The 25,881-nt window shown below is 41.0% G+C and overlaps 4 annotated features.

The window, feature by feature from the left end:
• Nucleotides 5,235-6,234: an enhancer, noted in NCBI's record as "OCT4-NANOG hESC enhancer chr5:108007873-108008872 (GRCh37/hg19 assembly coordinates)". NCBI's record gives its function as "activates a minimal SCP1, AML or CMV promoter by ChIP-STARR-seq in naive H9 embryonic stem cells {active_cell/tissue: H9 hESC(naive)}" and the evidence as "EXISTENCE:reporter gene assay evidence [ECO:0000049][PMID:30033119]".
• Nucleotides 14,458-14,958: an enhancer, noted in NCBI's record as "H3K27ac hESC enhancer chr5:108017096-108017596 (GRCh37/hg19 assembly coordinates)". NCBI's record gives its function as "activates a minimal SCP1, AML or CMV promoter by ChIP-STARR-seq in naive H9 embryonic stem cells {active_cell/tissue: H9 hESC(naive)}" and the evidence as "EXISTENCE:reporter gene assay evidence [ECO:0000049][PMID:30033119]".
• Nucleotides 18,307-18,940: an enhancer, noted in NCBI's record as "H3K27ac-H3K4me1 hESC enhancer chr5:108020945-108021578 (GRCh37/hg19 assembly coordinates)". NCBI's record gives its function as "activates a minimal SCP1, AML or CMV promoter by ChIP-STARR-seq in naive and primed H9 embryonic stem cells {active_cell/tissue: H9 hESC(naive and primed)}" and the evidence as "EXISTENCE:reporter gene assay evidence [ECO:0000049][PMID:30033119]".
• Nucleotides 18,941-19,573: an enhancer, noted in NCBI's record as "H3K27ac-H3K4me1 hESC enhancer chr5:108021579-108022211 (GRCh37/hg19 assembly coordinates)". NCBI's record gives its function as "activates a minimal SCP1, AML or CMV promoter by ChIP-STARR-seq in primed H9 embryonic stem cells {active_cell/tissue: H9 hESC(primed)}" and the evidence as "EXISTENCE:reporter gene assay evidence [ECO:0000049][PMID:30033119]".

Below are 25,881 nucleotides of genomic sequence, written 5' to 3' on the forward strand. Positions count from 1 at the left end.
CTGAGATTATAGGTGTGAGCCACCACGTCTGGCCTGTTTGTTTTTTTCTTATTGATTTGTTTGAGTTCTTTGTAGATTCTGGATATTAGTCCTTCGTCAGATGTATAGACTGTGAAGATTTTCTCCCACTCTCTGGGTTGTCTGTTTACTCTGCTGACTACTTCTTTGCTGTGCAAAAGCTCTTTAGTGTAATTAAGTCCCAGCTATTTAGATTTGTTTTTATTGCATTTGCTTTTGGGTTCTTGGTCATGAAATCCTTACCTAAGCCAATGTCTAGAAGGGTTTTTCTAATGTTATCTTCTACAATTTGTATAGTTTCAGGTTCTAGATTTAAGTCCTTAATCCATCTTGAGTTGATTTTTGTATAAGGTGAGAGATAAGGATCCAGTTTCATTCTCCTACATGTGCCTAGCTAATTATCCCAGCACCATTTGTTGAAAAGGGTGTCCTTTCCCTACTTTATGTTTTTGTTTGCTTTGTCAAATATCAGCTGGCTGTAAGTATTTGGGTTTGTTTCTGGGTCTCTATTCTGTTCCATTGGTCTATGTGCCTATTTTTATACCAGTACCATGCTGTTTTGGTGACTATGGCCTTATAGTATAGTTTGAAACCAGATAGTGTGATGCCCCTAGATTTCTTCTTTATACTTAGTCTTGCCTTGGCTATGTGGACTCCTTTTTGGTTCCATATGAATTTTAGAATTTTTTTCTAATTCTGTGAAGAATGGTTGTGGTATTTTGATGGGGAATGTGTTGAATTTGTGGATTGCTTTTGGCAGTAAATTATAAGGCACTACTGATATTACTTTCATTAGGCACCAGATGATAAGGGCCCAGACTAGGATATGAAAAGAGGCTATGGAAAAAGAACTGTAAGGTTATGAGGCATTGAAGGAGAGTCAACAAGATTTTCAAATTAGAACACAAATTTGAAACACAAATTAGAACACAAATTTGGGTTGTTAACCTGCTTTTGACTCATGAAAACTGTCCTGTAAATTCTTGGCCAGATGCTTGCACCCAGGCTAGAGCTTAAGAGAAATGTACAATCCATCTGGCAACTCTTTGGTCCTCTTTGTTATATTCCATCCAAAGTCACAGCCATAGACTTCCTGCTCCAATACAAGTCAACAATAGAACTTAGAGTCCTTAGTAAAACTATGATGGAAGAGAAGATGTTTACAGCGAATCACTTGTATATTTCATTCTTGGAGAGTGGTTTAGTTTGGTAGTTAAATTCACTGGTTTTGGTAGAAATTGGCCTGGATTACAAGCCCTCATTATACCCTTTGTTAGCTGTGTGACATCAGTCCTCTAAGTGTCAGTTTCCTTATCAATTATCCTTAGTGTAATAGGAATAATTATAACATCTCCTTCATAGGTTGTAATGATGATTAAACTAGATAATGTGTAAGTCGTGGTGCTTGGCTTAGATTTGGCATTTAAATGTCCAAAAAGCGAACATATTCTATTTTTTGCCATCTTTTTGGCAGGTTTGGAATTGTTTCACAGAGGAGTTTGTTCCCATGCTTAAAATTTTGTTTAGAAAAGCATCATGAGCAATCAGTTAACAGAAGCCATATGTGACTTATATGTAGCATCTTCCCACTGGTTTCATCTTCACTAGCATCTCCCTAGTCTATGCCACCATCATGTCTTTCCTGACCCAGAACTATACCTTCTAAGTGCAAATCTTGTTTCCACTCTTGACTCACTGGAATCTGTTCTATAATCACATTTCTAAATGTTCTTCAGATTTTGTCACTACTGAGGTTAGAAATCCCTCCAACAACTTCCCATTGCACTGTCAATAAAATCCAAACTCAGTATCTAGACTTTCCACATCTAATGCTCCGCCTTATCTCCTACTGCTACATTTGTCACTTCACTCCAACTACATTGACCTGACTTCTGATCCTTCAACACACCAAGCCCATTCTCGCTGTAGATGCTTTTATGTTCCCTGTGCGTAACATTTGTTACTCTCTAATATTTTTCTTATTCATCAATTTAACAACCATATTTTCTCCATCTCCCCAGCACCAGCCTTCAGAATGTAAACTCCATGAGAGTAAACATTGTCTTGTTCTCTGTGACATCCCCAGTATCTAAAGCACACCTGGCCCATACTAGGCATGCTATAAATAATTGCTTAATCACAAATAAATGTATGCAAGTTAGACATCAGGAAAATGCCATTATATTAGTACCCTTTTATGGAAACACTTCTTAAGAGACAACATTCTGTAAGGAGTAAGTAACAGCATATATTACAATCCAGATCTGGTAGTAAAGGACTGTAATAATCTTGCCCAGGTACTGACAGACTGAATATGTACAAAGCCAAGGAAATGATATTTTATTGTCACCTCCCTTTGTTTTAAAAGTGTTTCATAACCAAGAGCTCTCTGTTAGATTTTTCCTTTTACATCCAGAAGGTCTTCTCCTGGCTTCTAAAAGATTTGCTTGTCAGTTTATTTGAGCAGACAATATATTTCTAAGACTGACATTCAGTAGCAATTTGAATCTTGTAGAGTTACTTGATTCTTCTAGCATTTAACAAATAGGCTATTCCAGGACACCAGGCTAGAAGGGTGCTTTGAATAGCTATCAAATGGGAGGGATATTTATCTCCGTATGTATCTGTACACATATAGTAATCTCCCTCTCTGTCTCTTTCACTCCCTCTACTTGTTAATAGAGAAAATGTCAACAGCAGTAGAGATTTATTTCTTTGAACTCTTTACTCACAAAGCTGACAAAAACTGGGGGCCAAACTCATTTATTCCAGTCTGAAGGACTAGTCTTCAATCAATCAACAGTAACAGCATATAAATCTGTCAGCATAATAGTAGTTGTTCAAGGAAAATCTAATCTGTAACTTAATTACTAAGAAGGTACAGTGGAAGAAAAGGGTCCTCTGTAAACTACTAATCAACATAGGAAAGATTCTACCCCATTCATTTAAATTAAAATATTTATTGAGCAACCACTATTACCCTCCAACTCTATGCAGTAAGGCAAGATAGCAAATCGGACACCCAGAAAGGGCCTTGGGAACAGTGTGTAAAATGCCAAGGCATAAGGCTAGGCACACAGAAGACACTGGCAAATTCTGGTTTTCCCTGAGTTTCTTGATTTCTCCCTTGAATCTTGAGGTGTATCTTCAAAGGTACTGCAACTCAACCCAGATATACACCGAGGTGAGTAAAAGTGGCAGCAGCAGCCCAATGTGACAGCCAATTCTGTGTGCAGCCTGAGACAGGACACTTCACATACATAAAATCTCACTTCCATCCTCAGAGGTAGGTATTTGATTTTCTTTTGCCAAAAAAGGAAATGGAGGTATGAGAGATTAAATAAATTATGTGTGATGGATACAAAATGAAAATTAAATTCTGGTTATTCATGGCCATATTCATTTTGTTCAGAACACATTGATTTTCTTGAATCTCTGAAGCTGAGGATTCGAACAAACAGGGCAGTTTCCAAATGCTCAAAGAACTTTTACCTAATGTGGGGTAAAACATATTTTTTAAAGCATACATTTTATAACAGAGGTATGCTTGGTAGGCAAAAGAGAAAATGGCTCACTTTGCCAGAGTGCAGTGAGAGTGAAAGGAGAGTGGCACTATCACCAGCATGTGATAAGAGATGAATCTTGGAAAATAGACAGGAGTCCATGGGACAATCAAAGACAGGGAGAATGAGGAGATGACAGGCGGGGTGCCAGGGGTGTCAGGGCACAGGGTGAGGAGGAAGATACTGTACATGCTGGGAACTGCAAATGCTAGGTCTTCAGGACTTTCGGGAACAGTAAGTCATTTGATCAGTCTGGAGTGTGGGTGTGTGCCGTGGGTGGCAGGAGATAAGCCTGGAGAAGGGAGCCTGGCAGGAGGAGTTTGCATGTCAGGCTGAGGAGTTCAGGCTGTACCACGAAGGTAATGGGAACCCAACAAAAGATTTTGAGCAAGGGGATGACATTTCCAGAATGGATCTTTTAAAGGTCTCCCAGCAATGGTATGGAAAAGAGACTAGAGAGAGAGAGACCCATCAAGGAGGCAGGGAGACCAGAGAAGAGCCTTCTATGCTAGGCCAGGTGAGACACGCTGAGTCCCGGATCGAAGCAGTGGCTCAAAAATGCACTTGTCTGGGCCCTCTCCCCTGCACAGTTCAGCTTGGTATGCTCCTTGAAGTAGCTCTGTTGCCTCTGCAGCATGAACCAGATTTAAGGGACAATAGAGCTCTGTTCTCAGCCACACTTCTTCTGCTCACCCTCCTATTTGGTCATCCAGCTGGATGGTATGTAGGTTGTTGTCCTAGTGTTGACCTTAAAAGTGTCCTGAAATTAACCCATTAGTCACTTCTTTGCATCAAGTTAAGGAGACTTTTACTAAAGCACAGCAGAGTCCCTAGAAGGAATGCAGCATTATCAGCCATTAATGCCCTGCCCTGAATTGCTTCACCAGATTAATTAGTTGGATGCCCAGCAAGGCCCTAATCAAAGGGAGGCAGAGCAGGTAACTGTTGATGAAGTAAGGGAATAAATGAGATTCTGCATTGGGCACAAGCTGGGAGAACTGTGCTCAGCATCCTGGGCAGAAACAGAGCACCCAGTGCACAGAGGGAGATCAAGGGTCAGGAAAAAAGAAAGAACAAGGAGCTTTAGAGACAAAGAAGGCCAGCTGGGCTCATCAGGCCTAGAATCCACTCAGAAGATCCCTTTTGCCACCTATGGCAGGTTCTCTATCCTAAAGAGAGCCCCTCACCTGGCACGGGAATGTAGACTGGTCAGTGTTATTTCTTCATTTTTTCCAGGATGTTGTGAACAGAGTGCCAGGTAATTTCTATGCACTCTATCAGTCAGCCCTTACTACATGTGTCATCCAGGCTTAGTTTCCAGGTTTCCCATGAAGACACTGAAGTTCAGAGAGCTTAAGTGAACTGAGCACAGTCATTCAGCTGAGTAGCAGAGTCAGGATTTGAATCTAGATCCATTCTGGTTCTTAACCACTGTTAAGACTTTACCTCTGCAGACGTAAAACTCACAGAAGCATTTCCCAGATGTCCTCATTTCATTTTAGAAACAAGGTTTTCCCAACCTCAGCCCTTACCTTGACAACAGACCGGCTTTGTGCCACTGGTTCATCTGCTTCACATCTCACCACTCAAGCAGTCACTATCACACCTCTTCTGACTGATTGAGGCTTCCCAAGGCCTACAGAGGTAGTTTGGCCTTTAAAATCCTTGGATGCATGTTTAAAAGCCCCAACCCCAATCCATCTCCCATTTGTACCCAATCTGGGCACCTGAATACACCCTTACCATAGCCTGGATCTGCACTCTGGGGCTTACCTGGAAACTCACCGTGCCTGCAGTTTGAGCATTCACAAAGGGGTTTACATCCTGAGAAAGCTGCTGGATTCTTGCAGCAGTAAGTGGTAGAGCTGGGAAAGCAAATGCATGTTCTCTCTGTGACTCTTCCAGTAGACAATGCCTGGGCTGACCATTGAACAATGATGGATGATAGGAGGTGAAGAACAATGAAAAACTGTAGGCCAAGACAACCCCACAGCCGTATAGACTGGATGCAGCCCAAAAAATGCTGACAGAACTGTGAGACTAAAGTGCTTATGAGAGAAGGCGGGTGGCAGGAGATGAGGTTGGAAAGGTGGTTTGGGATGACACTGGGAAGGTGATGACACAGGAAACATCCAGTGAAGGAAAATGCCCTTGTCAGTGAGATGATTAAAGCAGTTGAAAAATATGGGTCAAGGAAAGCCTACTTTGGTTAATGACCGGTTATTACTAAGCTGTATTGAAGCCCCACAGGGGGAGAATGAGAAGTGAGAGTTAACAAACAGTTAAAGGCTAAGTGTGAGTTTAAATGGTTTACAAAAGGGCCCTTATCTCCTGCAGTGGTAGAACAATCAGAGCTGAGGAGCAAAATTAAGGTCTGAGAGATGAGGTTGCCTAACTCCAGAGATACTTAAATGCTCAGCCAAAGCAGGTCTATTTGTTAAGGTAAGGGCTGAGGTTGGGAAAACCTGGTTTCTGAAACGAAATGAGGACATCTAGGAAATGCTTCTGTAAGTTTTACCTCTGCAGAGGCCCCTGAAACCTCTGAGATTAGAGAGGGGGGCCTACCTCTCCAGAGGAAGAGCTAGCAGCCTCAGAGGAAAGATACTGCAAAGGTCTTTCCCCCATAAAGTAATAGGTACCCTCTTCAGGGGTTAATTCTGCCTACATCCTGGCTGTCAGGATAACATAATCCAGCTGAGGACATGCTGAACCTGAAAATGAAGGAAAGAGATATCTGCTGAAGGAGTTGCAAAAATTAACCAACATGTGTATACAAGAGCTGGGAAAATACCCTTGGGAGTGCATTTCAAGAGTGCTTGATAAAGGGAGTTATTATAGAACATAAAACTGGATAAGTAGAAATTCAGTAATTTGTGTCACTTCCTCAGGACATGAGATTCACCACCCTGGCAAGGACTCAAAAGAATAGGACAAACTTTTAGCTAGGGTGGCTCTTAGAAGCCTGGAAAAAATAATACCCTATGCTAGGCAAAATGGAAATGACTGAGTTGCCCTGTGCATGATGGAGGAGGGAGTAATAAAGCTGTAGAAAGTGGGATACTGGAGTGGGTATAGTATACGAAACCAGAAGACTTACCACAGGATGATATTCCATGGAGAGGCCCAGAGAATATGCCATTCACTATGACAATCAGGAATGTACTGGTGAGAGGGGCAGCAGCAATGCTCGAATATTCAGTGGTGGCCTCCTCTGCAGGCCAGGGACGATGGTAAGAGAGGCGTTCATAGAGCTAGACTCAAAATGAAGAAGTGAACAAATAGAGCCAAGAAGTGGTGCTTAGCCACTAAAAGCCAGAAGCCCACAATTATTGTATTGACCAACAAGGACCAAGGGGCAGTCAAGGATGCTTGACTCCAGGGAGTTGTGGAGAAAATTAATAGAGCATGGCATCCCATGGGGCAAAATTGGCCAGTGCTGCTTAAAATCTGCAGCCAGAAGCAAGACCAGAGGGCAGAAGTAAACTGCACAGGCAGGTGGTTTAGAACTTCATCACAGGTGCTCCAGGATCCCTCTCCCAGATCGCATGGATGCCTATATGTGCAGCCTCTTAGGACCAGCTGTGCCTTCTACAAAACACAAAACACAAGACATGAACATGTCTCCATGTTATTTGCCACTTTATAACAAGGATTGCCTTTCCTCCGTTGTTCAATAGCATGTTCCTTTTTTCCACCTGAGACTTCATCAGAATGGGCTTTACTGTCCATATTTCTAACAACATTCTGTTCATGACCACTTAGATCAATCTTCTCTGAGAAGATTGAGGCCTTCCCTGCAGCTTTCCTCTCTTTCTGAGCCATCATCAGAATTGCCTTTAAATATCTGCTCATTGAAATGTAGGCTTTGTCTAGCACACATCTCAAAACTCTTCCAGCCTCTACCCAGTATCCAATTCCAAAGCCACTTCCACATTTTTAGGTATTTATTACAACACACTCACTTCTCAGTGCCAGTTTTCTCCCTCAGTCTGTTTGGGCTTCTATAACAAAATACCATAGGCTGGGTGGCTTCTCAACAACAGAAAGTTATTTCTCACAGTTCTGACGGCTGGGAGTCCAAGATCAAGCCTCCAGCAAATTTGGTGTCTGGCAAGCCCACTTTTTGGCACATAGATGGCTCTCGTTTCAGTGTGTCCCCACATGGCAGAGAGGCAAGGGAATTCTCCAGAGTCTCTTTTATAAGAGCATGAAGCCTATAGGATTTCAACATAGGCACTTAGGGCAGACAAACATTCATTCTATAGCAACAGTAACAGGCAACTTTTGCTCCAGGATGCTCTATCAGCACATGTGAGATTTTCTTAAAGCTGAACTGTGGCCTGTGGCCCTTCCCATCCAACCCTTCCTTCCTTCTCTCTCTTCACAGGTACCCCACCTGCACTGTGATCTAAGGGCTCTCCTTGCCTACTCCAGTTCCTTTATTCTTCACAGGCATTTCCCTCTATAAATCTCTTACACATCTAATTCTGCTTTGGGAACTGTTTCTCAAAGGATCAGAACTGACACCCCACTATATTTTATGTTCCATGAAGACAGAAATTATGTCTGCTTTGTTCACCACTGTATCCTCAGTGCCTAGTTCCATTCCTAGAAATTGAATTCATCAATGCACTCATTGTTAATCATAGCAGCACCAATAACATAGTTGGAATGAAACCCATACGGGATGGAAATGAAGATTGTCCAGGACACTCAAGAATGCTGACAGTGAAAGAGGAAAAAGATTGAGAGTTGAAGATGGCTAGAGAAGAAAGCAGGGTTGATGGGAACTCTTTTTGGATTGGCTGAGCTTGGCTACATTTATAAGCTGAGGAGAAATCAATGAAGAAGAAAAGATCAAACACTGATTAGAGAACAGATAAAATCAAAGAAATGAAGAACAGAGCTAGGATGGGAGCCAGGGAGGAGGTGAGAAGTTGAACACCTGCCTTTAGGTTTCCATTTTTCTTTTCTTTTTTTTTTTTCTTTTTTTTTTTGAGACAGAGTCTCGCTCTGTCACCCAGGCTGGAGTGCAGTGATGCGATCTCGGCTCACTGCAACCTCCGTCTCCTGGGTTCAAGCAATTCTCTGCCTCAGCCTCACGAGTAGCTGGGATTACAGGCGCCTACCACCACGCCCAGCTAATTTTTGTATTTTTAGTAGAGAGGGGGTGGCCAGGCTGGTCTCGAACTCCTGACCTCGTGATCCACCCGCCTTGGCCTCCCAAAGTGCTGGGATTACAGTCGTGAGCTACCGCGCCCGGCCAGGTCTCCATTTTCCTAGTGTCACAAGAGGCAAGATCTGCTGAGAAAGAGATGGAGAGTGAGGATAGAAGAAATCTAGAGGGGTGTGAGTGAAATTGCCCCTGATGGTGAGTGAACTCAGTAGCATGCTGAGCCATCTGTAAGGCTGAGGTGGGGCTCCTCTGATGCTGGAACCACACATCTGCAATTCCAGACATGGAGTTTTCTCTAACATCCCTTAGGGGCCCCTTGGCAGAACTGGACAAGTACTGAGGTGCAGGGTAGGGGAATGGCAGGCTCTGAGGGGGATCTGGGATGGAAAGATAGCGAATGAGAAGAGGGTGCTGTTAACTTATTCTACACAGAGATTAATCAAGGTCAGGACTGGAGAAAAAGACCCATCTATCCCAGTTAAAGAAATAATAAACTGACCACTTACTCCTGCATCCTGTCTAATTCTCCCACATGAAAGTATTTTTCTGCCCACTTTGCAGATGAGGTGATGGAGGCTCAGAGAGGTTTAAGGAACATGCTCAAGTTCCCTTAACTTAGCTTTTTTTTCAACTACAAAAGAAACTTATTTTCACTTTTTAAGATAAATGATCTTTGCATGTGAAGAAATTATTTATGATTATATATGTATTCATATATTTACTTCCACAGATATATGATGAAAGTTTAACATAAGGAGCCATAACTAACTTCAGAATAAAAAGATCTCTTTATTTTAATGGGATGTTATACTTCGCTGTGTCTGATATAGATAATTATATGCCTTGCTGGGATTTAGCTTTCATTTTAGTATTGGATATATTTGTGGAGAAATATGAAATATTATGTTGCCCCACATACATACCTATTTAATTTGGTGGGATGATTTTGGAGAGAGGTCTGAAAATTTTAGTCACCTCATTTTTTGTATATTGGGAAACTCTTCCAAGGTTTGGAATGGGGGTGGGTGTGCTGCAGGATGGCTTAAATCACATCTAAATATTATTTTATACTTTCTTTTGAGAATGAATACTTATTTAAGATTTTATACTTATTCTTAGGAATATGCAAGATTAAAGGCTATGACTTATATTGTCCTAATCTTAAATCATTAAATAAATTAATAGTAACTGCATTGACTTTTTAGGAACTAATAAGAAAGTATTTGACTTGAATTCCATTTCTTCCCTTTTAACAAACTTCAGGGCTATGTTTTATATATAAGTAAAAGATGGTTTTTATTAAGCAGATAGAGACAGCTTTGTAGGGTATGCCCATCTTTACAATGTGTGTGATGAGGACACTATATTTTTATGGTTGGCAATATGTGGATTTCAAATTTCTTAATCTGCACTTATTAAATGGATTTATGGTTCTGACTGTTGTTCTCCTCACATGTTAACTGTAACATATCAGAGATATTAGCTAGGTCAAAGAGATTTTTCTTACAAGGAACAGAGAAAATTGCCCTATGTCCAAAATGGACTCTGACAAGAATTTTAAGAAGTTTTGCAAATGAGATTGCTCCTGGAAACTTCTTCACTCATGATGAAGCCCCTCATTCATTACCTGATAAAGATAATTTGAGTCAAGTAAAGGGTGAAGTTCAAAATGAAAGCAATAAAGGATTATTTTCAAATCTGATGATAATATGTCCCCATAAGCATTCTAGTGAATGTAGATTTATGGACATATGTGACTTTGCAACATGTTTTAAAATTATAGTGGATTCCCTGCAGTGCCATCTTTGACAGCTGGTCCCATGCAAATGTGAGGCTGGACTATTAACCACACAACATCACAGATGAATATGAGAAGCATGTTTCAGGCTGTCATTCATTTTTATTTTTTAAGACATTAACTACAAGAAATGTGAAAAGATTCATTATATGCAGAAGAAGAAATGGAACTGCTTTCATGATTTTTTTCCTATTGAGGCTGAAAGAAGTAGTTCACTGAATTGTGTGTAAAGAATAAGCACTTATTTGAGGAGGAATTTTGTTAAAATAATATTTTTAAAATCCAAAATGAATAAAATCTGCCAAAATTTTGTGAATTGTTAAAACAAAAAAAAAACCAGTTCACTAGAAGTGTCAGAAAGAATCTGTTCTGCAAGTTGATTCTGAATCAGTGTTAATGTGGTAAGATCCTCACTTATTATAAGTAAAATCCAATATACGGTGGGTTTATGATTCCATTTCTTTGGTAAGTGGGTAGGTCAGAGCTTAGGATACATCTTGCTAAAGAAAAAGCACTGCTACAGAATTGATGTGGGCGAGACCCATATCACAGTAAGAGTTTTAGATGCCTAATACTGCAAGGCTGTCCATTTTATAAGTGAGAATGGAGGCTCACAGGGAATCCATATGGAACTACCGTCAGCACCAACAGAATCAGTCTGTACTCTGTGTCCTGTGAGGGAAACCATGGGATTCCAAGAGGAAAGACGTGAAGCACAGAGACATTTCTCCAACTCTTGGCCACAGAGCAGAAAGCCCAGTGAACTGCTGAATTAAAGAATGCCATTTGCATATGCACAGCTCTCTTTTTCAAACCTCAGTGCCTCTAACACCTCCCAGTCTTCCTCCCAGAAAACTGGAGCTGTTTCTTGCCCCCGGCTGGGACCTGGTTTCCCCCATGGTCTGGCCAGGACTGAAATAGTATCACTTGCCCATAGGTGCCGGTACACAGAACTGCAGAGAGTGATCAGAAACAGAACCCAACCTGCCTTTAGTCTAAAGGGGCATGGCAGAGAGTGATGATCAGGATTTGGGACAGTGGGACCAAAAGTGAGAGCAGGAGAGCTTTACAGAGGATTTCCAAGCAAGGGAGATAGTTCTCAGCAGCCTGGTGGTCATGGGTGGACATAGAGGAGAAAAAGAATCTAACTGAAAAACAAGTAATTTCTTCTCCTCCTCCTCCTCCTCTCCCTCTTCCTCCTTCACTTCCTCATCCTCCTCTTCCTCCTTCACTTCCTCCTCCTCCTCCTCCTCCTTCTTTCTTATATGCTCTTGTGGTGGTTTTAAAACACGTCCACAAATTCTTTCACACTTCTCCCACCAAGAGGTAAAGTCCATGGCCCCTCCTCTTGAAACTGAGTGGATCTTCGTGACTGCCTCAATGAATAGAGTACACTGGAAGTGACACTGAGTCCCTTATTGGCTAGGCTAGAAAAGACCAGGCAGCCTTGGCTGGTGCCCCTGGGATACTCACTCTACTCACTCTGGGAGCCTTTGGCCACTCAGTAAGAAGTCCAGCTGCCCTGAGGTTTCCTTGAGACCATGTTGGGGGGCAACATAGAGGGAGAGATACCCAAGGAACTCAACTGTTCCAGCCCTAGCTGCTGGAGTCTCCCCAGTACAACTACCAGCTATAAATGGTGGAAGGGCCTTCAAGATGACCCCAGGCCCAGCTACCTTTCATGGCATAGCAATAGATAACTTGAACAGAACAGCTCTCCGTAATAGGGGCTTTCATCTTTCTTTTCTCAAAAGGGCAGGTATCCTGGAGGTCTGAAGCTGTCTTTGCTCAGAAGGTTAAGTCTTTGTTTTCGAAAGTTTCTGTCCCTCTCTCTGTGTCTCTATCTTTCTGTGTCTCTGTCTCTCTGTCTCTCTCTCTCTCTCCCTCCCTCTCTCTAACCGCAGGATTGTGTGGATAGGGAGGGCTCTGTTGATTGAAAGAGAGGAGAGAACCCAGTTCTAAGTATGGACGCTTTCCAGAGCCTAGAAGAAGTAAAGGGGTGGTAGGTTCTTGTAGTTGACACTTGTGCCCTCCCCTACACAGAAACTCAGAAGGATGTCTGATGGGACTGGTGCAAGAATGCCTGTTTGCTGAGCACAGAATGCCTCAGTCTTTAGAGCCTCCTCAGAGGACCCAGTGGCTGACTTCGGTGCAGAGGGGCAGGTGCCACAATCAGCAGAGTGCCATGTAATAAGTACAAATAATGAGGATCTCAGTGCAACTATGATGAGCTCATACCAGGCTCTCCTCCCCAAGGTTTTTGGATAGCACAAGCTGCTTGGGACCCTTACATAACACTAGAGAAGAGGAAGAACTCCTAAACATGACTGATACTGAATTTTCCATTGTAATTTTTAATTAAGAAAAATACCCTTTATTGTCCCAAAGATTTATTAAATCAATCTCACCTGATAATATACATACATTTGTGAATGGTGAGATTACCTTAACCATCCCAAAGGTGTTTACTATCTTCATATGAGGTTTTGGTATTAATAAATCAAATGATTTCTTATTGATGAAAATTTTAGGCAATGTAAAAAATAGAAATTTTTAGAGTAATTAAGTCATGAGAAGGTGCTTTTGGGGCTTTGGGGGAATCCATTAAGCTGCCCTTGCTCTTGAGAGCATCCCCATTTCTTCACTTCTGAAATGACAAGATCTTTCAAAGCCCCAACATGGCTTGAGTGTTTGAAAGCTCTAGGATGATTTTTATTTGTTCTCTCTGATAGAAATGTCAAATGCAGGAGTTTGTGTGACACAAAATGTTTAGGCACACATAGCTGTTGCCATGAACAAAATCTTCTGTATACAAAGGAAGTATTCTGAACTGTTTCCATTTTAGTTTCCAGTAGCCTTTAAAATAACCAAATAAGATCAATCATTAGGGCTTAATGACCCAGAAACTAATGCTGGAAACATTTACTCTTTAATGATGTCTCCTCTTCCTTCCTTGGCCTCCCTAACTAACATAAATTCATCATTTGTCTGTGTCTATGAAGTAAGATCAGATTGACTGGGGGTCTCTTCTCAATATTTTTTTTTTACCTTAACCATGTACTGCAGTTGATCAGAGCAATTAACAGTGATCCAATCCAGACAGAAAGTTATTTTAAATAACCTGACAACCAATCTGAATTCCAACTCTATGAAGGAAACTTGGCCAAAATGTGTTTAGTGTGTTCAAACATAGGCACTATTCAAAATCAAAGCAGAAAAAAAATGAAACTCTGTTAAAAGTGGCTCAAGATGAAGGCATTGCAATTCCCATCTTGAGGGCGGCTGATGAGTTCTTTTCAAGGTGAGGTGTGCCCTAGCATGCAGAGAGGACAGAAAGGGATAAAAGGAACAAATAAGCAAACAGAATGTGCTCTCAGAACTCCCAGCTTGATTTCCTCAAAGAAAAAGTAGAAATAGATCAAATCAAAGCATTCTTTAAAGATGCTGAGGTGGCTTTAACTGACTAAAATGTAGCTTTAAAAAAATCAGTATCCTAAATGCCAGGTGATTAATAAAGGTCAAGCAGGCAACTTCCGGACTTTATCAGTATAAGCTTAGTCGTGTGCCTTTATTAGGAAATGATCAATACCTTCCTACTTAGCAATATTTTAGGGAATATTTTCCTATAATAGGTAAGGTTTTTAAAATATGAAGACAAAAGTGTAGTATAGTTACTTTGTTTTTCTGGTAGAGCTAAGGAAGTAAATGAACCTCACAATAGTCAGTTTATGCACCCAAGTGAGATTAATTGCTTTACTTACACCATTACATTATTACACAATTCTTGTTATGTGGGGTTTTAAAAGTCTTCACTGTTTAAGCTGTTTTCATTTTAGTTATTCTGTTATTTACAACTGAAAGAGAAAACTGGAGAGGTCTTTGTGAATCTCTACCATATTTTTTTATGACTTTTGATTTCAAGAACCAAAATTGAGGATAAACCTGAAGCAAACACTGTTGAAATGGCCTTTGCAGTACAGACTTCATAGGCTAGAGGGCACAATTGTTTTAGCTGGTCCAAGGCAATGGAAAGCAAAACCTAGTCAACTGTTTCTTACACAGTGACCTAGCAGTTTTAAAATTTGGACCAAGAACGTGAAATTGCTCCTCGCTAAAAATCCACATCTGCTGGAAGAAACAGTAGAATAAAATGTGCATTTTCTATAGTAGTTTTGGATGTTTTTTGCAGAGGTCCTGGGCTTGTGAGAAAAAATAGAACACTCCAAAAGGTCCTTTGGTTCAGCAAAATTTTCCTATCTTAGATTTATCAAGCTGTCCACTCAGTTTTCAATGTGGCCTTTTCCTTCTAAAAATAACATCCTCAGCCGGGCGTGGTGGCTCATGCTTGCAATCCCAGCACTTTGGAAGGCCAAGGCGGGCAGATCACCTGAGGTCAGATGTTTGAAACCAGCCTGCCCAACATGGTGAAACCCCGTCTCTACTAAAAATACAAAAAAAAAAAAAAAAAAAAAAAAAAAATTAGCCACGCGTGGTGGCAGGTGCCTGTAATCCAAACTACTTGGGAGGCTGAGGCAAGAGAATCACTCGAACCCGGGAGATGGAGGTTGCAGTGAGCCGAGATCACGCCACTGCATTCCAGCCTGGGCTACAAGAGCAAAACTCCGTCTCAAAAACAAATAAAATAAAATAAAAAATAATAACAGCCCCTCCCTCCAATGTTTGTATGTATATATGCATATAACGTACTTGACAAGGAACTTGGTAAATACTTGACTATCATTAGGAAATTACAGGGTTGATTCTAAGTAGTGAGATTATGTCTTCTATGAAAATGGTTTCTTTTTAAAATGTACACATATTAATAATTTTTTTTTCCTAAAGCAGTTAGTTAGTCAATGATATTGTGTGGCCTTAACATTGTCTCTGCCTTTATTTGTTCCCTTCCTGCTTAGGGCTTTCTGGATCTTCTTTGCTGTTTTACCTTTTTTAATATGAAATGCTTCTGGTTTCTCCTCCTCACATATCATGTATGACCCCAAGTCCCAGATTATTTTTCTCTTTACTCATTTCTTCTGCTTCCTTCATGCCAGCACACCCAGGCAGAAGGAGAGCCACAGGAAAAGTGACCTCCACACTCACAAATTCCTGCTTCATTTCATCATGTTTTTTGCCTCACAAACTACAATTCTTATTCCCAAATTCAAATTTTTTCTTGAGTGATAGTTGTCTTTCTCTTCTTTCTGCACACCCAAAGATCTCAAGTAGGATATTTGGGGACTGATGAAGGGGAGAACTCAAGGAAATGATTGGGGCCTCAAAGAAGCTTCTAGGCCAGGTGTGGTGGCTCATGCCTGTAACCCCAATACTCTGAGAGGCTGAAGTGGGAGGATTGCTTGAGCCTAGGAGTTCAGCGCCAGCCTGGGCAAAAGAAGGAGGCCCTATTTCCACACAAAAAAATTTTTAAATAGCCAGGCATGGTGATGGGTACCTGTGGTCCCAGCAACTTGGGAGGCTGAGATGGGAGAATCGCTTGAGCCCAGCAGGTTGAGGCTACAGTGAGCCGTGATCATGATCATACCACTTTACTCCAGCCTGGGCAACAGACTGAGATCCTGTCTCAAAAAAAAAAAAGAAAAGAAAAGAAAAAAGAAGAAGTTTCTAGATAAGGGATAAATGTCTCATTAGATATGATGTTAAATACTTTTTGAAGCCAATCTTTCCACTTCCACCTATGAAATATATTCCAAACCCATCTGTGGTAGGCAGAATGTTGGGCCTCATGACCTTCTCCCTCTGGAGTCACTCCTGTGAATATGTTACTTTACATGGCAGAATGGACTTGACAGGTGTAATTAAGGTTACTAATCAGCTGACCTAAAATGGAAGGTTATATTGGCTTATCCAAGTAGGCCCAATGGAATCACGTGAGCTCTTAAAAGCAGAGATATTTTTCCAGCTAGTAGTAGAAGATAAAGTCAGATATTCCAAGATGAAAAGGATTAAAAGTGCTGCTGTTAACTTGAAGATTAAGGTAACCATGTCAAGGAAATGGCAACCTCAGTCCTATAACCTCAAGAAACTGAATTCTGGCAGGGTGCAGTGGCTCACGCCTGTAATCCCAACACTTTGGGAGGCCGAGGCAGGCAGATCATGAGGTCAGGAGATTGAGATCATCCTAGCTAACACGGTGAAACCCCATCTCTATTAAAAATACAAAAAATTAGCCGGGCATGGCAGCGGGCACCTGTAGTCCCAGTTACTCAGGAGTCTGAGGCGGGAGAATGGCGTGAACGTGGGAGGCGGAGCTTGCAGTGAGCCGAGATCGTGCCACCGCACTCCAGCCTGGGCGACAGAGCAAGACAATGTCTCAAAAAAAAAAAAAAGAAAAAAAAGAAACTGAATTCTGCCAACAAACTGAATGCGCTGGAAAGCAGAATCTCCTCAAGAGCCTCCAGATGAGCCCTGTCCTGCTGATGCCTTGATTTCAGCTCTGCTAAACCCTGAGTAGAAGACCCAGTTGAGCAATTGCTGTGCCCAGACTCTTGACCCACAGAACTGTGTCCATGATAATTATTTACACCACCATTCTTGTTACGTGGGATTTTAAAAGTCTTTCCTGTTTAAGCTATAGTTCTTCTCTTATTTATATTTTAAAAAGAAAATTTATATTGTCTTCTCAAGCTGTGAAAAAAAGGCTTAAAAGTTAAAACTTTCTTTGCATATGTATTATAGAAATGTATTGGTCTTTTGATGAAAGAATGCAGCTGTCTTTGCACTGACTGAATGGATGTCAAGTGCTAGGCTCTGTGCTAGTCAGTTTATAGATCCCACTTCCAGTCCTCATCACAACTTTTATGTCCCAGAGGGAAAACAAATGATCAAATTGAGGGAAAAAAACAGCAACCATATCTGGTGATAAGAAAAATAAGGAACGTTATTTCAAAAAGGAGGCAGGTATATAAGGAAATAGTTTATTTTTGAATCTGACTCCAGTATGTAAAATGTCCAGGGTTTTAGGAGCCACCTACAGAGGGGAAATGTTTCTATCTTTAAGGGTTATGAACCCAGCCTTTCTCTCTGGATGCACTTAACATTTTTTCCTTCATTTCAACCTTGGTGAATCTGACGATTATGTGTCTTGGGGTTGCTCTTCTCGAGGAATATCTTTGTGTTGTTCTCTGTATTTCCTGAATTTGTATGTTGGCCTGCCTTGTTAGGTTGGGGAAGTTCTCCTGGATAATATCCTGAAGTGTGTTTTCCACCTTGGTTCCATTCTCCCCGTCACTTTCAGGTACACCAATCAAAAGTAGATTTGATCTTTTCATATATAGTCCCATATCTCTTGGAGGCTTTGTTCATTTCTTTTCACTCTTTTTTCTCTACTCTTGCCTTCTTGTGTTATTTCATTGAGTTGATCTTCAATCTCTGATATGCTTTCTTCCGCTTGATCGATTTGGCTGTTGATACTTGTGTATGCTTCCCGAAGTTCTTGGCTGTGTTTTTCAGCTCCATCAGATCATTTATGTTCTTCTCTAAACTTGTTATTCTAGTTAGCAATTCCTCTAACTTTTTTTCAACGTTCTTAGCTTCTTTGCATTGGGTTAGAACATGCTTCTTCAGCTCAGAGGAGTTTGTTATTACCCACCTTCTGAAGCTACTACTGTCAATTCGTCAAACTCATTCTCCACCAGTTTTGTTCCCTTGCTGGCGAGGAGTTGTGATCCTTTGGAGGAGAAGAGGCCTTCTGATTTTTGGAGTTTTCAGCCTTTTAGCGCTGGTTTCTCCCTATCTTTGTGGATTTTTCTAGCTTTGGTCTTTGATGTTGGTGACATTCAGATGGGATTTCTGAGTGGACGTCCTTTTTGTCGATGTTGCTACTATTTCTTTCTGTTAGTTAGTTTTCCTTCTAACAGGCTCCTCTTCTGCAGGTCTGCTGGAGTTTGCTGGAGGTCCACTCCAGACCCTGTTTTCCTGGGTATCACCAGCGGAGCTGCAGAACAGCAAAGATTGCTGCCTGTTCCGTCCTCTGGAAGCTTCATCCCAGAGGGGCACCTGCCAGATGCCAGCAAGAGCTCTCCTGTATGAGGTGTCTGTCGGCCCCTACTGGGAGGTGTCTCCCAGTCAGGATACACAGGGGTCAGGGCTCCATTTGAGGAGGCAGCCTGTCCCTTACCAGAGCTTGAACGCTGTGCTGGGAGATCCGCTGCTCTCTTAAGAGCTGTCAGGCAGTAGAGCTTAAGTCCGCTGAAGCTGTGCCCACAGCCGCCCCTTCCCCCAGGTGCTCTGTCCCAGGGAGATGAGGGTTTTATCTGTAAGTCCCTGACTGGGGCTGCTGTCGTTTTTTCAGAGATGCCCTGTCTAGAGAGTCAGTCTGGCTGCAGCGGACTTGCTGAGCTGTGGTGGACTCCGCCCAGTTCAAACTTCCCCGTGGCTTTGTTTACACTGTGAGGGTAAAACCACCTATTCAAGCCTCAGCAATGGTGGACGCCCCTCCCCCCACCAAGCTCCAGCATCCCAGGCCAACCTCAGACTGCGGTGCTAGCAGGGAGAATTTCAAGCCAGTGGATCTTAGCTTGCTGGGTGCCGTGGAGGTGGGACCCACCGGGCCAGGCACGGGAGGGAATCTCCTGGTTTGCCGGTTGTGAAGACCATGGGAAAAGCGCAGTATCTGGGCCAGAGTGCACTGTTCCTCCCAGTACAGTCTCTCACGGCTTCTCTTGGCTAGGAACTGGAAATCCCCCGACCCCTTGTGCTTCCCAGGTGAGGCAACGCCCCACCCTGCTTGCTTGGGCTCGCCCTCCGTGGGTTGCACCCACTGTCCAACCCGTCCTAATGAGATGAACCAGGTACCTCAGTTGGAAATGCAGAAATCACCCACCTTCTGCGCGATCTCTCTGGGAGCTGCAGACCAGAGCTGTTCCTATTCAGCCATCTTGCCAGCAATCAAATGTAGTTTTTGGGGGGAGTTTTGCTTCCTAAGTCTAGGACCCATTCCAACTCCTACCTCTCACCAGTTGGGCCAAAGTTTCAGCACCCAGGATCAAGGTGGGCCCCTCTGGATATCAATTGTCCACCCATCTTGTTTTATAGCAGAGTGGTCCATTGTGCTGCTTAGCACAGCTCTGCAACTTCTGTGCCATATTTGGGGCATCAGAATCTTATTTCTAGGTGGCCGATGAGAAAGCCTACCTAGATACGTAGGATAGTTCTCTTTCTGCCACATTTTTCATATGATCAGACCAACACATAGCCTGAAGGAAGGGAGAAGTAGAAGAAATAAAAAGAAAAAAATAATATTGGTTAATTTCTCAAGCATATTTTCTTCCAAACATTCTAAAGAATAAACTGATTCATTCAACAAACACAAAGGCATTCAGATGCTAAAGCATGTGCATTCACATGCTAATTCCAGAAAGAAAAAAAAAATGCATCTCATTAGCCTAAAGGCACTGGAGTCTGAGTTTAGCCATTCATTCAGTATAGCTAGTATAGTATTCAAGAAACCTGTCTGAATTGTAATTCAAGTATTAAATATATTTTTTTCCTCAGTAACACCCAATATTGGAAACTACACTAATCATTCATGTCTTAAGTATGCTTTTATCTCTCATGTTCGTGTGTGTGTGTGTGTGTGTGTGTGTGTGTGTGTGTGTGAGACAGGGTCTGTTGCCCAGGTTTGAGTGCATAGCTTACTTCAGCCTTGACTTCCCTGGCCCAAGCACTCCTTCCACCTCAGTTCCACAAGTAGCTGGGGCCACAGGCATGTGCCAGGACACCCAGATAATTTTGTTTAGTTTTTGTGGAGAGGAGGTCTCCCTACATTGCCCAGACTAGTGTTGAACTCCTGGGCTCAAGTGATCCTCCCGCCTCAGCCTCCCAAATTGCTGGGATTACAGGCTTCAGCCACTTCCCTGAGCCTAACTCTCATATTCTTCAGTTTCTGATTGCATGCTGTTGTTAGCTGTATAAGCATTTTCACATTTTAAGATTTTTTTATTGACCTTTCTGACAATCACACCAGTGAAAAAAGATAGGGCAGTGTATAACATACTGCACAGAATGCATTGATCTGTACAGCCTTGTGAAAACATGGTATAGTTTTGCACATAACCTCTATATATGAGGATAAGGCCTATGATAAAATTCTTGAGATTACTTATGTGTTGAATATGGCTCTGGTGTTCATGTCAAAAAAAAGCATCATAAGTCCATAGAATTTCTGAGGCAATTGAGAGATAAAATATCAAGTTTTTTTTTTTTTAAGAAAACCTTGCGGTTTTAAATAACATAGCAAACACCAACAAACATTAAGGAGGTTGAACCACTCAGTTCATGATGTTGTCATGACAACAGAGCTTGAAAACTGAAAGTGAGGCTAAAGATGAATGAAATTTTAGGTTGCATACCTTGTAAAAGGATCAAATCTTTAATTTTTAAAAAAGAAAATTTTCCAGTAGGTAAGGTTTCTGTAGGAGATCCCTCTGGACAAGAAGGGCCTCTCCCACTGGGTTTTACTTCCCTCTTTGCCTTCTAATGGTTTCCTGATGCTGACACCCAGCCTGGCCCGTGGAGTCTTTCTGCTTCCCTTAACTGCTGGCTGAAAAGAGGCAAAAAATTCCATTCCTTAGTAGTGCAACAGAAACAGCTTGGAATGTTCCAAGAGAGATGTTAATAAGAAAATGGAAGAAAACAAAACACAACATGAATATTTTTCAGCTCCCCAAATCATTTTTCAGTGACACCAATGTGTGGCTCTTTTGGCTCTAGCAGTTTCTGAAGCTGTGACTAGGGAGACAAACCCATCCCAACTTTCCCAGGACTTTCTGGTTTTAGCATTGAAAATCTCTCATCCTGGGAAACCTGTTAGTCCCTAACGAACAAACTCGGACAGTTGGTCACTGTACCTGACTGTTAGAAGGAACACCCTAAAATCCCTCTTTTCCAGTCCTTGAATATTTTCTTATCCAACTCTTCCAGTATCCGTTTAGACCAAAGGTGATAAGACTGAATGAGTCTGTCTCAACCTGAGAATAGAAGGGTCCCACTTATTCAAATATATTCACATGGCTATAGCTAGTCAAAGGGCCACTGAGCCATGGGCTTGTAAAAAAGCATTTCACACTAGTCCTCAATCACTTGTCTTAGAGACAGATGCCATCAAGCCCCAACAGAAGACAGCTGCTGCCACTACCATGCACTCCTCAAAAAGTTTATCACAAGTATTGCAGGTGCTGACATCAAAGGTAGGCTGGATCTTTGGGTAGTAAAACAACAGCTATTTAATTGGGTACTGTATAAACAGTCAAAGGGAAGTAGCTTTAAAGACTTCTGACCAAATAAACCAGCAAACTTGGTCTTCTGTAGATCCAAGAAGTATAGACCACATAGTAACCAAAGGTGGAGAATTGACATTACTAAAATTAGAGGTGTCATTAGCCTCAAATATGAGTCCAATTTTTATAAATAACTTTTGTTCTTTTTTATGTATACCCATGTAGAAAAAATAAAAATATATAGAAAAAAAGACAATAAAAATCAACAAAAGGCCGGGCGCGGTGGCTCACACCTATAGTCCCAGCACTTTGGGAGGCCGAGGCCGGCGGATCACCTGAGGTCAGGAGTTCAAGACCAGCCTACCCAACATGGCAAAACCCCATCTCTACTAAAAAATACAAAAATTAGCTGGGCGTGGTGATGGGCGCCTGTGATCCCAGCTACTTGGGAGGCTGAGATAGGAGGTTGCAGTGAGTCGGGACCGTGCCACTGCAATCCAGCTTGGGCCACAGAGTGAGACTCTGTCTCAAAAAAAAAAGAAAAAAAAAATCAACAATAATCTTATTACACAGAGATATGCACGGCTAACTTTTTATCATTTCTTCATGATTTGTCTCCATACATGCTAATATATATATATATATATATATATATATATATATATATATATATCACATAGGTATAATGTATATACATTTTCTATTCTTTTTCTCATGCCTAAGACATCAAGAATATTCTCTTTTTTTGATATAACATTTGTTATTGACTGAATGTTCGTGTTATTTCCTCCCACCCCAAAATCATATTTTGAATCCCTAACCCTCAATATAATGGCATTTGGAGTCTGGGTCTTTGGAAGGTCATTAGGATTAAATGAGGTCAAAAAAGTGAGGCCTTCATGATGAGATTAGTGCCCTCATAAAAAAAGATACCAGAGAGTTTGCGTTTTCTCTGTCTCTCTCTGCCATATGAGGACACAGTGAGAACAGGAATAGAGCCTTCACCAAGAACTGAATTACACAGCACCTTGATCTTAGATTTTCTAGCCTACCAAACTGTGATAAATAAGTTTTTGTTTAAGCCACCCATTCTATGGTATTCTGTTATGGCAACATGAGCTGACTAAGACAGCATTTATAATTTTTTTCATTTTAAACATTCTCCAAACCCAACATTTATAATGATCAGATAATCATCCCCCGTAAAACATGAATGTACTATAATTTAACATACTGCTATTTTAATTCATTTAGATATATAATGCACACTTTGGGTTGCCCTTTCTGTTTTCCAAAAATATTTTTTTTCCAGTAATACAGTCTTCCTCCAAATAGCCAAACATCTTAAAGAGATGATTTCACTACGAGTTCTAGGAGTGGACCTGACTGGTCTAAGAATAATAGACCAATCCAACGATTGGTTCAGAAATGGCATATGACTACTTCTAGCCAATAACATATGAAGGGAAGTTTGGTTAGAAAGATTTGGGAAAGTTTTCTCACATCTAAGACAGAGTCATTAGAAAATATTGTCTCTTTTCTTCCTCTAGACATTGTGAATTCTGAGTGGTCAGCCATCTTACTTCTGAAAAATCACAGAAGAGATGAATGAAACTTAGTTATTTCACAAAACTGATGAATCACTGAACTGTAGCCTTGAAGTTCACCTCCTCCTCTGTACTTCTTGTTATGTGACATAAATTTGCTTTTTATTTAAGTCATCTTGTATCAGGATTTCAGACACTTGCAGGTAAAATTATTCTGACACAAATTTTTTTCTACTTTTACAACAATCTTCATGCATAAATCTTTGTTTATATCTCTGATTATTTCCTAAGATAGAATCTCTGAAGAAAAGGTTCAGGGTCAAAGACTATGAACATGTTTAATGTTCTTTTTTTAATACATTTTTCTTGAGATATGGAGTCTCACTATATTGCCCAGGCTGGTCTTGACTTCCTGGGCTCAAGCGACCCTCTCACGATGGCCTCCCAAAGTGCTGGGATTACAGGCATGAGCCACTGTGCCTGGCCAATGTTCTTTATATTTATTGCCAATTTATTCTGAGAAAGTCTGCATCAATTTACATTCCCATGAGCAGTATATGAGGGACCATTTCAATGTATCTTTACCAGCATCAAGTATTATCTTCTTAAAACTTTTTATTGATATGATAAAGAAATAATAGTACCATGTTGTGATATAAGTTTGAATTTTTGTTGAGGGTTGACCATATTTTTATATATAGTATTTATTAGTCATTTATATTTAGTCATCTATACATTTTCTATTCATATCCTTGGCTGATTTTTCTTAGTTTTGTTAAGTAGAATTTGAGGCTAGGTAGTCATTTTTTAAAGTTGGATATAATATACTCTTTATTTTAATATCTCTGGTTTGGATAGAAAGGCTTATTATTACAGGACAGAAATTGACGATGGATTTTTAGGTCAGGTCATAAAATGGAAAAAAAAAAACCTTGAAAATCATTAGAGGCACAAAAACCTTCTTTTCTTTAAAACATGTTCGTATCGTTGAGTTTGAGTAAATTCATGAAAGAGTTTAATAATTTAATAATCATAGTTTAAATTCACATGGAATCTCATAACTTTATTTCAATAATCAGTATTCTTAGGTTATGTAACCACTCCTTTTAAAGATTCGTTTATGACCTATTCAGTAATATTTAGGTTTCTCTGTACTGCCTTAATAAACCCACTATGACTTTCCTCATGCACCCTCTTGCTAAAAATTGTTTTATGTCAGGGCTTAGCAAATTTATTATCAGTTGGAGAGAAACGTGGGCATGTAAAATAAAAAATGAATTCTAATAATAATACACGCTCAAGATATAGGAGACAATACTTGTCCATTTTTATTCTAAAATTGCCAGTTTTCATTGTGTTTGCAATCCAGGAAAATAGCATAATTCAGTTTTCATTATTAATGTGTTCAATTACACATTTTTATATAGATTGGCGTTAGTGTGGTGCTCTCTTGAGAGAAAAGGGGAGACATGATGAATAGTGCTTCACTCTCTTACTGCCCAACCTCCTCCCACAACTTTGACTGGATTGGAAAGAATATTAGAAAGTGCAGCAGCCTGCTTTGTCCCAGAAGTTATCATGTCAGAAGAAAAATCTGTGTCACCTTTGTGTCACCTGGCCTTGTATGTAAAGCGTGGTGGCCTCGTCTATGTGATCAACAGGTCTCTCTCAGGCAGCAGCGCAGGAGCCAGGAACCCTGGATGAATGGCCCTTGAGTCAGGTGGGCTTTATCGTAAAAATCAATCTGCAGATCAGGCAGAGAGGCTGCAGTCACTGAGGACTGGGGCAAGACTTTAGATGCCCGGGAAAATCTGGCAAGGGGGAGAGACAAGTTACCGAGACCAGAGAAAAAAAGCAAATCTTGGAAACTGGAGCACACAGTGGTGGAAAGAGCTGTAAGTCAGAGAACAATGAGCTTTCCCCAAATTTGACTGGCAGCAAAGGAGACACAATGTGGAATGTGGAAATCCAGCAGTTTGCTCTGGGCAACTCAAAATCCAGGCTGGTAACAAATCTCTGCAAACTAGTTTTAGCCAAAGAGAAGGATAGGGTTATCATAAGAGCCAAGGTCAGGAATTCAAGAAGCAACTGGAATTGGGAATAAGAAAATCATCAGGACCGCAGGCCATATTTTACCATCTCTGCTTCTCACTGGACATATGCTACATTTTTCTCTCTCTGCATCTGTTGGATAGCTCACTTCAGTCCACACTGATCGTGGCAGCTTCTAGCTCCTGAGTTCATATGATATAGTTCAACCACACAAACTCTTGCAACCTCTATCTAGTCAAAAATTTTATTTAATGATTGGCCCAGCTCTAGTACAATCAGCTGTATTCATGGCAGGTAGGGTCACAGTGAAGAGATAGGACCATGGAAACCCACCCCTGATATGTTAGTCAGGATTCTCAGACCAAACAGAATGAGTAGGAGATAGATAGATAGATAGATAGATAGATAGATAGATAGATAGATAGATAGATAGATAGATATAGAGAAATAATAAGATTTATATAAGGAATTGACTCACATGATTATGGAGGCT

Source organism: Homo sapiens, chromosome 5 (genome assembly GCF_000001405.40).
Source record: "Homo sapiens chromosome 5, GRCh38.p14 Primary Assembly".
NCBI lineage: Eukaryota > Metazoa > Chordata > Mammalia > Primates > Hominidae > Homo > Homo sapiens.